Source organism: Homo sapiens, chromosome 2 (assembly GCF_000001405.40).
Source record: "Homo sapiens chromosome 2, GRCh38.p14 Primary Assembly".
In the NCBI taxonomy this organism is placed as follows: Eukaryota; Metazoa; Chordata; class Mammalia; order Primates; family Hominidae; genus Homo; species Homo sapiens.
Window position 1 is genome coordinate 15,499,319 of NC_000002.12, and position 17,706 is coordinate 15,517,024.

At 37.3% G+C, this 17,706-nt stretch overlaps 1 protein-coding gene across 9 annotated transcripts in view; it reads right to left on the reverse strand.

The window, feature by feature from the left end:
• NBAS (NBAS subunit of NRZ tethering complex) overlaps positions 1-17,706 on the reverse strand; it is a 782,426-nt gene that overhangs the window by 720,410 nt on the left and 44,310 nt on the right. For all 9 annotated transcript variants that reach the window (XR_007076390.1, NR_052013.3, XM_017004317.2 and 6 more), the window contains 2 exons: positions 11,894-12,032; positions 4,827-4,895 (listed from right to left, as the gene is read on the reverse strand). Coding sequence is in view for 7 of the 9 variants with exons in the window: in XM_017004317.2 (XP_016859806.1) it covers positions 4,827-4,895; positions 11,894-12,032 (208 nt within the window). In the remaining 2 variants the exon portion in view is untranslated. The remainder of the gene's footprint in view (positions 1-4,826; positions 4,896-11,893; positions 12,033-17,706) is intronic.

The following is a 17,706-nucleotide window of genomic DNA, read 5'->3' on the forward strand; positions in this document are numbered from 1 at the left end:
CTGCAGCACTATTTACAATAGCAAAGACATGGAATAAACCTAAATGCCCATCAGTGATAGACTGAATAAAGAAAATGTGTTACATACATGGAATATTATGCAGCCCTAAAAAAGAACAACACTATGTCCTTTGCAGCAACATGGATGGAGCTGGAGGCCATTATCCTTAGAAAACTAATGCAGGAACTAATGGAGGAACAACCAAATACCACATGTTCTTACTTATAAGTAGGAGCTAAATGATGAGAACACATAGACACATAGAAGGGAACAACACATACTGAGGTCTATGAGCAGGTGGAGGGTGGGAGGAGGGAGAGGATGAGGAAAAATAACTAATGGGACTAGGCCTAATATATGGGTGACGAAATAATCTGTACAACAAACCCTCATGACACAAGTTTACCTATATAACAAACCTGCACAGGTACCCCTGAACTTACAATAAAAGTTAAATTTTTTAAAAAAGTAAAAATTTAAAAAGTAAAATGAGACTATTTTAAAACGTTTTGAGAAGGCATAGTGATATTTATTAAGGAAAACCACATGAATTGTTAAAATATGAACACAAAGAAATTGTCATGAAATACGGCTTGATAGCAAAGAGTATCACTAGTATCTGCTGCAATCCACTCTATTCCACTAGCTCCAATACCCATTTGTTCTTTCTTCATTAAAAATACTATTAAATCCTTCTACTACTGGCAGCAATATTTGGAGAACGAGTTGTACTTTCTCTCAAACATTGCAGTAAAACTTCCTAACTAACTGTCCTTTCCAAGACAGGGTTTTTAAGAATATTAAACATCAGACCTTTGTACTGAAATCAATCACCTGTCATCTAATTTAATAGAATTAAAAATGAGTGATTTACTATTTCCTGTAACTTTCAAATATACAAACTGTATTAAAAATAAAGTAGTTTTCTAGTGCATACATTCGAAACATTCTGAAGTACTACATATTCTTAAAGAAAAAATACTCAGATCAATAAAAGGCAAATTTATAAGTGCTGCTCTTCCAACATTCCACAAGTATTTATTGAATATTATATATTCAATAATAAATATTAGGTGCCAGGCATTGTTTTACACTGTAGGAAGTCAGCGTTGAACAAAACAAACATAAATCCCCACCCTCAAGAAGTTTACTAGATATTCTACACCATTATATTTTAGAAGTCTCACACACACACACACACACACACACACACACACACACAAAATTAGAAATCTATCCTTCAAATCAAACAAAGTCAGCCTCAAAAGCCTGTGACAAAAACACTGTAAATGCATGAAGGAAAGAAAAAAAGGCTTTTGAAAAATAAAAAAAAAAGGCCAGGTGCGGTGGCTCACGCCTGTAATCCCAGCACTTTGGGAGGCCGAGGCGGGTGGATCACGAGGAACATTCTGGCTAACACGGTGAAACCCTGTCTCTACTAAAAAAATACAAAAAATCAGCCGGGCGTGGGGGCGGGTACCTGTAGTCCCAGCTACTCAGGAGGCTGAGGCAGGAGAATGGCGTGAACCCGGGAGGCGGAGCTTGCAATGAGCCTAGATCGCGCCACTGCACTCCAGCCTGGGTGACAGAGTGAGACTGTCTCAAAAAAAAAAGAAAAAAAAGAAAAGATCCAAGCCAATATCCTTGATAAAAGAATATAAATAATTCTTATTTTAACATACTCTTTTAAAAGATAATACTGGCCAGGCATGGTGGCTCACGCCTGTAATCCCAGCACTTCGGGAGGCCGAGGCCAGCAGACCATGAGGTCAGGAGACCTAGACCATCCTGGCTAACATGGTGAAACCTCATATCTACTAAAAATACAAAAAGTTAGCCGGGTATGGTGGCGGGTGCCTGTAGTCCCAGCTACTCAGGAGGCTGAGACAGGAGAATGGTGTGAACCTGGCAGGTGGAGCTTGCAGTGAGCCCAGCCTGGGCAACAGAGCGACACTCTGCCTCAAAAAAAAAAAAAAGATAATATTATATGCCAGACAATGAGAAGTTATTTTTTAAAGCCACGTAAGTTTGGGTATAATAAACCACAATTCAAAAAGAACCTGTGGACTACTAATTATTAATTCTATAATTCAGGATATAAAGAAATTAACAGAGATAACAGCAGTCACCATTACACCACTATTATTTGCTGAGTATCTGCAATATGACAATCACTGTCTTGGCTATTTTATGTATATTACCTCTAATACTATACAATCTCAGTGTTGTTAGAGTTTCATAAGTAAATTTTTAAATGAACTAAATATTTTTTTTTTTTTTTTTTTTTTTGAGACGGAGTCTCGCTCTGTCGCCCAGGCTGGAGTGCAGTGGCAGGATCTCGGCTCACTGCAAGCTCCGCCTCCCGGTTTTTTAAATGAACTAAATATTAATAATATGGTTATACAGGAAAGCAGGCCCATTTTGTAAAGATATTAGTAGTTAAGAGGAACTTTTTTTTTTTTGAGCCAGGGTCTCACTCTGTCCCCCAAGTTGGAGTGCAGTGGTACAATCATGGCTCACTGCAGCCTCGACCTCCTGGGCTTAAGTGATCCTCCCACCTCAGCCTCCCAAAGAACTGGGATAACAGGTGTAAGCCACCACGCCAGGCTAAGAGGAGCACATTTTAAGAGAAACATAATTGCTGCCAAACTTGAGTAGTAAAATAGATAATTCTTTCTAAGATATTAAGTAATTTGTCATCTCAGCTACTTTGAAACACATCTTAGTTTCTGTTTCTTCCAAATTACCAACTAAAGGTTTAAGACAATAACCAACCAGAAGTGGTGAAAACAAGCACTGGATCACAAACCAACAGAAGACCAAACACATCTCTGACACTGGATAAGTGAGTTTAGGCACACATTTCTCTTGAGGCCTTAATCTCTTCATCAATAAAAAGCAGGCATCATAATGCCAGTGTAGGTAATGCAAACTTCCTGTGAGATCCTGTGAAAATACTTGTCAAAGTGTTCATGATAATAAGAAATTATTAGATAAGCCCTATGAGCTCTTTCAGCTCTAAAATTATAGTACAGTCATGTATCACTTAACAACAGGGAGATGTTCTGCAAAATGTGTCATTAGGTGATTTCGTCGTTGTGAAAACATCATACATAACAGTGCAGTTACACAAATCTAGATGGGATAGCCTACTACGCACCTAGGCTGGGTGGTATAGCCTATTGCTCCTAGGGCCATGAACCTGCTCAGCATGCTACTCTACTGAATACTGTGGGCAACTGGAGCACAATGGTAAATATTTGTGTATCTAAACACAGAAAAGGTACAGTAAATGGTATAAAAGATAACAAATGGAACATGTGTATAGGGCATTGACCATGAATGGAGCTTGCAGAACTAGAAGTTGCTTTGGGTGAGTGAGTGTGCGAGTGAGTGGCAAGTGAATGGGAAGGCCTAGGACAGGACATTACTGCACATTACTGTAGACTTTAGAAACACTGTACACTTAGGCTCCACTACATTCATTTTTTTAAACTTTCTTTCCTCAATAATAAATTAGCCTTCCCTTACTGTAACTTTTTTACTTTATAAACTTTGTATTTTTTTACCTTTTTGACTTCTGTGATAACATTAGCTTAAAACACAAACATGCTATACATACATCTGTATTAAAAAAATTTCTTTCTTTACATTCTTGTTCTACAAACTTTTGTATTTTATTTTATGCTTTTACTTTTTACACATTTTTGTTAAAAACTAAGACACAAATACACACATCAGCCTAGGCCAACACAGGGTCAGGATCATCAATATCACCGTCTTCTACCTCCACATCTTATCCCGCTGGAAGGTCTTTAGGGATGGTAACACTCATGGAGTTGTAATCTCCCATGTTAAGAATGCCTTTCCGTGCAATGCCTGAAGAACATTCCTAAGGCTGTTTTATGGTTAACTTTTTTTTTTAGTAAGTAGAAGGAGTACTCTCTAAAATAATGATAAAAAGTACAGTACAGTCAAGCCTTCCATATCCACAGGTTCCACATCCTCTGATTCAACCAACCATGAATTGGAAATACAGTATTTGAGGGATATAGAATCTGCAGATATGAAGGCCTGACTTTTCATATCAGCAGGTCCTACAGGGAAAGAAACTGAAGCAGTGAAAAAGATTAGATTATTTGATTTTCCTCCAAGACAGGAGTATGATTTGATTCCCCCACAAGACAAAAGTATGATTTGATTCCCCAGTGTAGGTCAAGACTCTTGTGAAAGTCAAACAGAGAAACAAATGTAACCACCTCACAGAGGCAGTTCCTAAGTATCACTGATATTCATCTGGATGAAACCGTCTAACATCCTTGCCATGGATCCATACTCTTCCTGCTAAGTAACAAGACAGTAAAACAATGGTACTTAAAACCTAGGGTCAGGAGGCACATTTCTTCTTGGAGCATCAGTAATCTCAGATTTGGGGAAGAATTTTTTTTAATATTAAGCCAAAAAATGATATATTATGAACAATAATACAAAATTCACAAGATTTGTAAAGATAAAATATGAAATTCAAAGATATGTATATAATGTTTCTAGGAGAATTCCTTGAGCTATATTCCCAGATCCCCAAGAGGGCTGGGTATATTCTCTATAATTATTTTTCTTTTAAGATAAGGTTGATACACAGTAAAATATAAAAATCTTCAGCACCAGCTCTATGAATTCTTACTAATGCATATAGCCACATAGTGTATATGAATACACTCAGATGAAGATACAAAAAATTCGAGGTTCATTCAGCTTTGACCTTAAAGGTACTTCAGGGTAAAAATGTTTGAGAAGCCCACCATAGTTAAGCCAATTTGTGTTACCTGTTCTTGTCCCTGGCGACTGTAAAACTTGACACTTAACATCCTTAATAATCCCAGTGTCTTCGGTACCTGCAAAATAAATGCATCATATGAAGAAAGATTACTGAAATGACTTATCGTTGTAAAATGTCCCTTTATAATGAAATGAAAACTATAGCAAATCTAGTATTTTTTTAATTGATTAAAGAAAATCACCAAGAAGGTGTCAAGGATCTTGGTGAGATTTTGTTTTTGTTTGGGAAAAAAAAATCCACCAAGTGGTACAATCTTACAAAAGACATCCATGATCAAATGCTTTTTTAAATATATAACCAGTAAACTTTATGCAAATCAAAATCCACCGCAAGCTCTTCTCAAGTAAGGCTGCCCAAGGTTGCCATTTTATCCTAACATCAGTATAGAAAAAGCTAAAACTTCCCAAAGCAATTTCATCTATTAACAATTGATTCTATGCTTGAAAAACACCAAAAAAGACTTCATCATTAGAAATCAGTGCATAAAATAATTTAATATAACACATGACAATTTTTTGTCTTTAGACTTAGAAACTATATTTTTTCAGTGGAAAATAACATTGTTGAGGATGTAGGGAATCTGGAACCCTCATACACTATTGATGGGAACATAAAACCGTACAGCCACTGTGGAAGAAGCTTGGTGGTTCCTCAAAAACTTAAACATAAAACTAACATACGACCCAGCAATTCCATCTGAGATCTATACACAAAAGAATGAAAACAAGCATTCAAACAAATATTTGTACATGAATGTTCACAGCAACAATATTCACAATAGCCAGAACTTCTGAGTTGAAAACATTAGGGATGGCCTTGATACACTTCTCCAAATACTTTCTCCAAAAAAATCAAGAACAAGAAAGGGAGATAAATCTACACAAAAACCATACTCTCCACTTAGCCTGAAGATAGAGAATAACCCAAACTTTACAATAACTGTAAGCAAAAAGAAAGAAATCACCAAATCCCAATGTGTCATCTCCATTGCTCCTGCTAAAACCTATGTCCCCACTTACTCCATTGTGACCTGCCACAAGGTGTGGTGGTGAGCAAAAGCAAATTGAAAAACACCCAGGGAGGACAGAGGGGAGCTAGCAAAAATGGCTAAGGTCCATCTAAAACCAAAACTACCACCAAAAAGACTAAGTCCACTCTGAGTGAAAATACTATAAAAGCATCCAGGTTAATCAGACATGGCCTACAGGGAAGGGACCTAAGTGTGGGCATGATATGAAGAGGCAGGCTTCCAAACACAGAGCTTCTGAGGGAGAAAAATGGCAAACAGGAAGAAGTGCCTTTTGCCAAAGGGGTGGTAAAGGGGAAAGGAAGCAAAGGGGCAAATGTAGTGTGCAGCAAGACAATAGACAACCACAACATCAGAGGATCCACGCCCCCTCCTGCCACCAAAACAAAACCGAAAAAATCTGCTAAGGTATTTGAACTTTGCTATACTGACAAAAGAAGGCACCGTTAACCTACCAATCTTGTAAAGTATTCCAATATCATAAAAATGAACAAGAAAGAGATTCACAATAGTTTGCAGACATGAGAAGACAAAAGTCAACACGTGTCAACAAAGGGAAATTATGGCTGAAAAAACAACCACGAAGCAAAAGAAAACTTTAACATAGCACTCCAAACAGAATGAAATATAGTCAGACAAGCATTTGAGAATGTGGACAACTTGAAAAATCACCTTAAATCAAAAATTCAGTAACTGAAAATAGAACTGGACAAGAAGAGTGAAAAAGGGTTAATAATAAAAAGCTCAATAAATTCAGGAAATAAATATAAGAAAAAGAGAAAATTATCTAAAAAATAAAGAATAAATTACAAGGTACTCAAGGATAATTTAGTAAGGGGCTTTAAAGGAAGACATGAAAACAATGAAAAAATGAAAATGAGTTAAGAAGTGAAAAGGAAATGAGATAAAAGGGAGAGGTAAAAAGAGTAAAGAAAAACTACTGGAAAGAGAAGATAGTAAGAAGCAGTAACATTTGGATTGCCAGAGAATCTGAAGAAGATAAACAAAACCAAAGTACAGAATATTTAAAATTATAATCCATGAAAACTTTACAGAAACAGAAAATGGAAAAAATAGAAATAGAAAAAAATCTGAATCTACACACTAAAAGAACCAATGCATACCCAGAAAATTTAAACTCAGCATGATCAACTCCAATATCCTAGGAAGCTATCAGATTTCAAAGATAAAGAAAATAAAGACCTGTAAGAAAAACTGACTAATAACATACGAAGGGCAAATAATTTGATTGCATCAGACTTTTAAAATCTCACATACAAAGCAAAACAAGAGTAGCATTTTTTAAAAGTGTAGTGAAAGAGAAGGCGAACCAAGGATTTTACATCCAGACAAGTTTCCCCTCAAATTTGAAGGTTATGGCAAAACAGTTTTGAACATAAAATACAAAAACTTAAGAAACTCATCACCTATGAGACCTTCTCAAAACATACTGTAATTTCATCCAACCACAAGAATGACTGGGAAAACTTCAGCAAAAGAACTGAGTAAGCATTTTAAAATACATAAATAGATGACTAAAGAAAGCTGGGAACAAAAGTAGACACCAATGTACAAATATTATGTATGTGACAATGCAGAAACAAAACAACAAAAAAAAGAAAAAAGAAAGCAGAATAAGCTGATTTTTGTATAAGCAATTAGTAGAAATGAAAGAATACGAAGAAAACAAACTCGTAAAATGCTGGAAGACATTGATAACATCAATAAGAATAGTTTCTGTGAAATGATGGAGGGAAATCTCCATTCGAGTGAATTCAAGAGAGAATGGAAGGAGAGGAATTGGAAACAAGTACAGACAACTCTTGAGCATTGTAAGGAAAGGAAAAGAAATGGGATGGTAGCTAGAGGGCAAAGTGGAGTCTGAAGAGTTTTTGTGAAGGGAAAAATAAAAGCATGCTACATGCTGATAAACCTAAGAGGTAACAAAATTCCTGATGTAAGATGAATATCCTTCAATAAACAAGAGTGGGAGATCTAGTGGACAAACACAGGGCTTGGCCTTAGCCTGAGCAAGGACAGTTCCTCTGTCTGAACAAGAGAAAAGTTACAGTACACAGGCACAGCTGCTGGCAGGGTGTGGGATCCTACAGAAGTATTCCTTCTGATTACTTCTATTTTTTTCAGGGAAATAGGATTTCTCGTGGAAATAGGATTTCAAAAAGTCTATGTTCTTTCCACAACAAGCTTCTATATTGAAAAAGCAGCAGCAGCAGCAGCAATAATAAAAATTCAGTCAACTTTGTTCATTCTCATATAGTTTTCCAAAATTTTGATCTTAAAAACTCAGACAACAATAAATAATTAACACTGTAGATCATCTTACAGTTTATCAAATGCCTTTACATATATTACTTCATTTACATCCTGGCAAAAGCCTTAGTAGACAGTGGTAAGGGATAAGGTGGAATTCAAACACCAGCCTTCTGACTCCACAGCCTGGGTCCTTCCTTTGTCCCAGCTACTGAATTCTAATCTGGTACCTGTTATAGCTCATTGCACTTATTTGAGACATAGCTGTTCTTCCCATATGCAGCGAATCCCTTGAGGGCTGCCACCAGTATTTTTACATTCCTAATACCTGGAGCAGTGATTAAATGTTGAATAAATGAATAAATAAAACTATCTCACATAGATGACACTAACATTAATTTGGAAACTTGGGTCAATACACATATTGAATTTTGCACAGTCTGTTTTACAACCTAGCAGCCTTGAGAGAGACTACGATGTATGTGTCAGCAGCATTTTTCAGTCAATACCTACACCAAGACAACAGCAACCTTAAACAAACAGTAAGAGGAGGTTCGATGAGAACAATATCTGCTGCCTGACAAAAGGAACTAATCCCATAACCTCAAATTATTGTGAGGTAAGGGAAGGCTATGCAGAATGATTTCAAGTTTAGCTGCAAGACACAGCCACTAACATAATTAAAATACACTTGCAGCATTTCAAGAAGTTAATCATACAGCAGAGCATTCCATTTGCAATTCAATATTTTTCCCACTTATTTTGTCAGCGCACAAGCAATTTTCTTTTAAAAGACTTCAATACCGAAGCCTCAGGCCACAAGGAGATCAGGACCATACATAGCAGAGTAGATTCCAATACTTCAGTAAGGTGCAAAGGGAAAGCACAGGAGAATTCAAAGAAACTAAGGTGAAAAAAGGTTCCCTGGTATGTGACTTGCCACTTGCTTGCCTACTGGGTCCCAAATAAACACTTGATTACACCAAACCAAAAGGGACTTTCACCACTTACCCACGTTCTCTCCTTATATCCTCTATACACATCCATTTTCCTTTTTTCCTCAACCCTATTTTGACAAATTTCACAGCTACAGAAAAGTTGAAATGATTGTACAATGAAACACGAGTATACCTCTCACCTAGCTAGACCAGTTATTAACATTTTGTCACATTTGCTTTATCTCTATGTGTGTGTCTATGTATACAGACACACATAATTTAAAATTTTTTTTTTTACTGAATCATCTGAAAGCAAGGTGCAGACTTGGCCGGGCATGGTGGCTCACGCCTGTAATCCTAGCACTTTGGGAGGCCAAGGCGAGCGGATCACCTAAGGTCAGGAGTTCAAGATCAGCCTGGCCAACATGGGGAAATCCCTTCTCTACTAAAAGACAAAAATTAGCCGGGCATGATGGGGGGTGCCTGTAATCCCAGGTAATCGGGAGGCTGAGATGGGAGAATCGCTTGAACCCGGGAGACGGTGGTTGCAGTGAGCCAAGAAAGCCGCAGACATCATGCTTACTTTAGACAGAGCTAAGAGAAACTTCTTCAGACTCTAAGATCTACCCTGAAACATCTTGCATATAAAACTAGAAGCTGGATATGACCTAAATCAGAGAGATAAACACAGCTAAATTCCTACAGATATGAACTAATGTGTCTAATATGTACGAGTAACTTCTACCTCACTTTACTTTTTATAGATTATGGGATAATCATCATAGCATATATTAGTGCCACTGATATGGACAGAATTTCATGGGGTGGCGGGTGCAGAACAGAAACTAGATCTGGCCCATCTCATGCCTCTATGTTCAGTTATTATGCTCTATGGTGCCTTAGGCTCCTTATTTGTGAAATGTGGCCAATAATACACCAACTGTTCTCCTTACTAGGTCCTGCAGAGAGAATAAAGGGCTGATAGACTAGGTAGATGGACAATAAATGGAAGGAAAGGCATATCCACAGTACTGCATAAGCTGTTCTACACATACAAACTGGTTTAATGTCTGGTGCCATATAAACCAGTAAGTTGACTTCATTTAAAGAAAAAGAAACTACTACTTTGTTGGGTTAAATCACAGTTACACACTGCAGTATATATTAAATGCTAAAAATAAAATTCACAGAGGATTACTATTATTGCTAAAGATTTCTTTTCAAAAGTACATCTTCATTAGTTTATTTTCAACACTAAAATCTTTAATAGTTTGTTGTTTTAGAACATAATTTGAAATCAATATATTTTTTGACAAATTCATTATCAAAATGAACACATATCATGTTTGATTATGTTGTGTTTCAACTTTTCTAGATTTCTTCCCTCACTGAAAAAATATTTGAGTGCCCACTAGGTAACATGGTAAACCCAAGCTGCATAATTTTGGCCAAGTGCTCACTTCCTTTTTTTTTGAGACGGAGTCTGGCTCTGTCACCCAGGCTGGAGTGCAGTGGCACAATCTCGGCTCACTGCAACCTCCGCCTCCCAGGTTCAATCGATTCTCCTGCCTCAGCCTCCTGAGTAGCTGGGATTACAGGTGCACACCACCAGGCCCAGCTAATTTTTATATTTTTAGTAGAGACGGGGTTTCACCATGTTGCTCAGGCTGGTCTTGAACTCCTGACCTCGTGATCCACCCACTTCGGCCTCCCAAAGTGATGGGATTACAGGCGTGAGCCACCACGCCCGGCCCAAGTGCTCACTTTCATACAGTTTACACAAATAACTAAGACATGCAAGACTGCAGTGTGGCCAGGATGGTAAACATAATTAGTATTTACCAATACCTAGTTTTTCACATCTTTCTGGACACATAGAAAACTATTTCCCAGCCCCTTTGAAGCTAGGAGGGGCCATAATACAATAAATGAACTGTAAGTAGAACCAATGTCACTTCTGGTCTAAGACAGTAAAAAGTTCCACCTATTATCTCTCCCTTCCCTTCCTAAGACCATAAACGGAGATAGTGGGACCCCAAAAGGTCACCATTCTCCATGGATCTTTTAATCATCACTTAAAACAAGCTGCCCAGGAGAGTCATGATCTCAACATCAGGCTTTGCCACAAAATAAGGAAAAAATATGTATATGATAAGCCACAGAAATTTCAGGACTTTGCATTTGCTCATTTGATTGCTTGAATTATCAAAATAGAACCTAGCCTATGCTGACTACTACAGCCCCAAGGACTGCCTGACACAAAATAGAAGCTCAATAAGTAAGTATAGAATGAATGGATGGATGGATGAATAGTCCATGTAAATATGGAACAACATGGAAATCTGGACTCTAATTCTGCCATTTGCTAGCTGGATGATCAGGGCAACTTACTTAACTACACCTCACTTACCACCTCATCAACAGACTCGGGCCAGTAACAATATTTACCTCAAAGGGTTACTTAGAATTAAATGAGTTAGAGCATATAAAAAGCACTCCAAATAGCTGCCAACACATTAAAAAGTGCTTAATACATGTTTTCATCTAAATAAGCAAATACAAGGAATGGGACTACTGTTAGGTTGTTTTTCTAGTATCTGAAAATGTCACTACTAAAAATTATTCCAAGTTAAATACAATATGCCTCAGTTGAATTTGTTATTTGAAAGAAATAAAATTATACCAGCATTAATTCACTGTCCTCATTCAAGATGAAATTATTTCTTCCTCTATATCTTACAAAGGACTTATTTGTCTAAGACAAATAGCACAGTGAAATGACACATAGCAAAGTGAAGTGCCATAACTCATACTTACTGCAGTAACCCCGTCTCCACCATTAGTAACCTGCTTATAATACGGTGATCCTGAAAGAACTCTCCAGGCAGAAAGGCCACAGCTAGAAGCTTTTGACATGCCTACTTCAGCAGTTTCACATCCACCAACAAGTAAAAGTCTAAAAAGGAGAAAATTTTTAAAAATCGATAAATTGCAAATATAAATAAGAGCAAAACAAAGAGAGCAGAAACAGTCACCTTGAGAAAGAAAATTTACCAAGTACTATTAATATATGTTAAACCTAGAAGGTAAATATTTCAGAGGAAACAATCAAAAGAAAACCAAACTGTTTTTCAATTAGAATTTCACCATATACTAAGGCTTAAATATTCAGGCACCTGAAATGCAGGTGGGAACTTAGAAATGAAGAAAAAAATTAAGGCTAGCAACTGAATATAAAAAAACTGTCTGTATCAACACCAATAAACTTTAATAGATGTGTAGCCTCACCCAGACACATTATGTATTAATTATGGCAATGTATCTGATGCAATGAGGGAGCCATTACAGAAAGCTAGAAAGAAATGACACCCAGGAGAGACTGAATGGGAAAGAACCACAGAGCAATAATTATACCAAAACAAGACTGGTTGGTAGTTTAGCTGCACACTATGAGTGGTTCACTTTTCTGTTTGTTACACTCCATTCATAACTGGAGGCCAGTTACCAACAGGGCAAACAGCCTAACATATACTAAAAGTTAGAAGACATTACTGTGTAACCACTATATAAACAAAGCTAATTAATAACGAAACCCCAACAGTCACAATTTTTAAAGCTATGTTCAGTACTTCTGGCAGGGATCTGTATAACAGACATCACAGTTATCTGTCTAAAGAAAGAAAAAAAGTCTGACAGTTCCGTTTACCTCCTTCTTGGCCATACTCATAGAAAAACCAAATCTTGAAAAATTTATGTTTCTACATAGAAATTGAAAAGTCAAAAAAACATAAAGTTATTTAGAGTTGGCATATCAGACTAACTCAGTTACAATTTATGTCAACTAAAGCTAACTTTAAATGTTATAAAATAAATATCAGTACCTCATGACATAACACCATGAGCTCTCAATACGGACCCTTCAAGACCAGTGGAGGTGTATGCCCACTGGTAGTAGTCAAAAAGCACTATATTATGGTAGAAAGCAACACCTGCCTTCTGTTAATTTTGTTCACCTTGTGTGGCAGGCAACACAATGGCCCCCAAAAGATGTCCACATCCTAATCGCTGCAGTCTGTGAGTATGTTCTATTACATGGATTTAAGGTTGTAGATGGAATTAGGGTTGCTAATCAACTGACTTGAACTTAGGGAGAGTATCCTGAATTATTCAGGTGGCCCCGAAGTAATCACAAGGATCCTTAAAGGTAGAAAGGGGCAGCAGAAGAGTCAATGTCAGAGTAATGTAATGTGACACTCACCTGGCCACCGCTGGCTTTGAAGGTAGAAGGGGCCACAAGCCAAGGAATCTGGGAAGCTTCTAAAAGCCGGAAAAGGCAACAAAATAGATTCTCCCCAAGCCTCCAGAAAGGAACACAGCCCTGAGGATATGTTTGATTTTAGCCCAGTGAGACCCATTTCAGACTTCTGAGCTCCAGAACTGCAGGGTAAGTTTGTGTTATGTCACCAAGTTTGTGATTCATAGAAAATGAATATATACCTTTTTTCTTTCCCAGTCCCAAAACTCAGATGACCTGTCACACTCTAATGCCACTAAAAGCCCTCTTCTCATTTGACAACCCACTTTCTAAAGTGTTTCTGAACTAAGCTAACAATAACAATTAAAGAACTCATCTCTACCATATACTCTTAGATCTAAATTTTTCAAAACTATACAAAATCCTTCTAGGTTTAATTATGGAATGTAGCCCAACTCAAAATCTCAAAAACCATAAAGTAATTCAAATGCACTTTCTTCACAGAAACACAGCTTGGGCCTACACACAAAGCCTTTTCCCTACTGCCTTTTTATGCAGCTCTAACAAATTTTCATCTCAGCAAATTGGAAGTAAAAAACTTTGAGACGATGCCTTGAAGCAACCTATTTTGGTTGTTCCTACCCTAAGCAAATCCTTAGAGCTAACACGTAATTAACCCTGCTCACCAGGGCAAAAGAGACTGTGGTCCAAAGTCAGGCTAGTATTATGAGTATTACTTGCCCAGAGCATTCATTCTTCTCAAATGATTCTATTACAGTAAAATATTTCACAAAAAAAGGAGTATATCTAGTGCAGATAAAATCATATTATCCCTCAGAATCTAACTCTCAATTTGGAGAAAATATTGATGAAAAAAGAAAAATACTTTAAACAACACTACAAAGATGCAATCAACAAAAACTAGACAGTGAGAAAATACAAAATAAATGGCCTGGGTTTTTTTTTTTTCAGAACCCACACACACATAATCAAAGCAAAAGAGCAACAGACAGAAGGAGGATATGGAGAGCAGATCAATGAATTAAAAGAAAACATAGGTTGGATGCAGTGGCTCATGTCTGTAATCCCAAAACTTTGGGAAGACAAGGTGGGAGGATTGTTTGTGGCCAAGGGTTCAAGATCAGCCTGGGCAACATAGTGAGATCTCATCTCTACAAAAAAAAAAATCAGCCAGGTGTAGTCATAGGTACCTACAGTCTCAGCTACTCGGGAGGATGAGGTGGGAGAATCGCTTGAGGACAGGAGTTCTGAGGTTGCAGTGAGCCATAATTGTGCCACTGAACCCCAGCCTGGGTGACAGAATGAGTGAGAACCTGTCTAAAAAAGAGGCAGGGGAGAACACAGTCTGGATATTTGAAGATACTGACAGATTACTGTTAATTATTTTAGATGTGCTAATGGTATTATGTTTATATTTTAGAGTCTTTATTTTGTAGAAATACACACTGAGATATTTACAGATAAAATAATATGCTGTCCAGGATTTACTTCAATATAATCCAGGGAAGGGTGGATAGGGAAATGGCTGGGTATACAGGTAAAATGAGACTGGCCATGAGCTGATTGTTGAAACTGAATAACAGGCACTAAGGAGTCAGTATACTATTCTACTTTTGTACATGCTTCAAATTTTCCATAAATTTATTTCTCAAAAGTCCATTTGATAGGAAAAAAATCCTCTGAATAAATAGAAATATAAGGGGTAATCTGGAATATCCAAAGTTCAGAATTTAATCACAACGTTTTTTCAATCCAAAAATATGTGATTCATAAAACATACCTTTAAAAACTAGTAACCTACTATTTAAAACAGTAACCTCTATTGAACCTCTATTTGAAAACAATATCACTATTTAAGAATTCAATAAACTATAACAATATCACTACTTAAGAATTCAATAAATTCCCAAAGTCCATTATAAAACAGTTCCTTGATAACTGAAATAATGTCACTTTGATCAATGTCCAATATATATATTTGTATTAAAAACATATAATATAGTAAACATTAATGTATTTATAATATATAATTTCTACTAATTAAATTTATGTTAACATATGTCTGAAACTTTAAGTTGGCTGACTACTGAAGGAGTTACAGACCTAAGTGATAATCCAGATTTTTTATGTCCTGGGTATTGCAAGACACTTCCTCTCTATGAATTCTGATAACTAGCATAGCCATGCATAGATAAAACTGTCTACAAAAGGTTAAGATCCCCTAAGAACAAAAGGGATTCAGTATCTGTTCCCAGCCTTTCCTCCGTTCATGCCAGACTGAAGAATAAGGGGAAAAGCAGCAGAATGATGAAACGAATCATGTGTTGTTCCAATCAGACAGATAGCAGCTTTAGGACACTGATGCTCCAGCTCTAAGAATGCATATGTGTTCACACATCCAAGTAGGCACGGGTCCTCAGGTATGTTTAAAGGGGAAGAAATGGAGATAACTGAATCAACATCTTCACAAAACTGGCAGCTGCTGAGTGCAGGGCAATGTGCAGGGCACTGAGTGTACAAAGATGAACAAGGCATGTGCTCTGCATTTAAAAGCTCACTCTCTAAAACAGAAAAAAAAAAGGAAGAACACATGGGAGCATGAAATTAGTGGCACAAAAGATGACAGACCAATCTGAAGATGATAAGCAAATCTAAATCTACTGAAGGGTTTTTCTTCAGTTATACATGCCAAGGGGCCAGCCTGGAAAACATGTCTCTACAAAAATACAAAAATTACTTGGGCGTGGTGGTGCATGCCTGTAGTCCCAGCTACCTGGAAGGCAGAGGCTGCAGTAAGCCAAGATCGAGCCACCACTTCAGCCTGAGTGATGGAGCAAGACTTTCTCAAAACAAACAAACAAACAAAAACCCCAAGGGGTATCAACCCCAATTCAAGACTCCATTACTTTATTATTCAATAAGACTCACAATGTTGACGAGAACTAATCTACAAGTGATTAAGAAAATAAAAATAAAACAGGCTTATGGTGATGATTGGCCAAGTAAATAAACACGCTCCATCATCATCACAGTGTTCAGAACAGGCTTCCAGGGCAACACTGGCCAGAAGTGAGGAGAAATAAAGTTCCACTGGTAAAACCATGTAACTTAAAAAAAAAGCCAGTCAATGGAAGAGAAGAGTCTGAAACTCAGCACAATATACTCAATAAATGTTTGCTGAGGGGCTGTGAATTGAAAGTCCACATTTCTCATTAGGAAGCACAGAGTGAAGAAGGTACAAAGAGACCCATCTTCTTACTGCTTGTCTTCACTCTATGTTTCAGCAGTAAGATATGATGAGATAAGGTGGGGAGAAGGGAAGGGTCACGGCAATGGAGGCAGGGAAAGGTGGGGTCACACTGTTTAAAACGGACAAAACAATGCTAAGCCAAGAATTTGATATTTTTAAGGAAACATCGAGAAGAAAATTTCAAGCTTGTGAGAGTTACATGAATGAAGACGGAGAGATACTATCTTCTTTGGTGGGTATTTTAAACATGCCAATTCCTCTTAATTTACAAATTGAATGCAATTTCACATAAATCCTGTAAGAATTTTTCATGGAACTGAACAAACTGATTTAATGAAACTAGAAAAACACAGAATTCCCATAAGAAAATAAGTTCTAAGAAGAGCCAACTCAGTTCATGCTCATCAAGCTTTCACTTATGAGCTGGGCTTTGTGCATCTTGACCTGTAAACATTTTCCTACCCTGCCATCATTAAGACATTCTCACTCAAATTTGACCATATTAAAATTTAAAATTTCCATCCATAAAATGAAGACTGGGCTTGTAATCCCAGCACTTTGGGAAGCCCAGGTGGGTGGATCACCTGAGCTCAAGAGTTCAAGACCACCCTGGGCAACATGGTGAAACCCCGTCTCTACTAAAATACAAAAAATTATCCAGGTGTGGTGGCGTGCACCTGTAGACCCAGCTACTCAGGATACTGAGGCACCAGAATCGCTTGAGCCTGGGAGGCAGAGGTTGCAGTGAGCCGAGATCGCTCCACTGCACTCCAGCTTGGGCTACAGAGTGAGACTCCATTTCAAAAAAAAAAAAAAAAAAAAAGACTGGGAGAAGTTATTTACAACACACAGAACTAACAAAGTATTAGTAGGCAGAATTTATAAAGATCTCCCAAAACCAGTTCAAAAGGAAAGTAGACAAAGGATAAGCAACAGCAAATCACAAAAAAAGAAATCCAAAAGCCAATAATGCAGATTAAAACAACACAGATTTACACCAATCACCCTCTAGAATGTTTAGGGGCCTAGTAACTCTTAAAAACTACTAGCGAGATTGCAAATTGAAGCAATCATTTTGGAGCAACTTGACAATATCAAATAAAT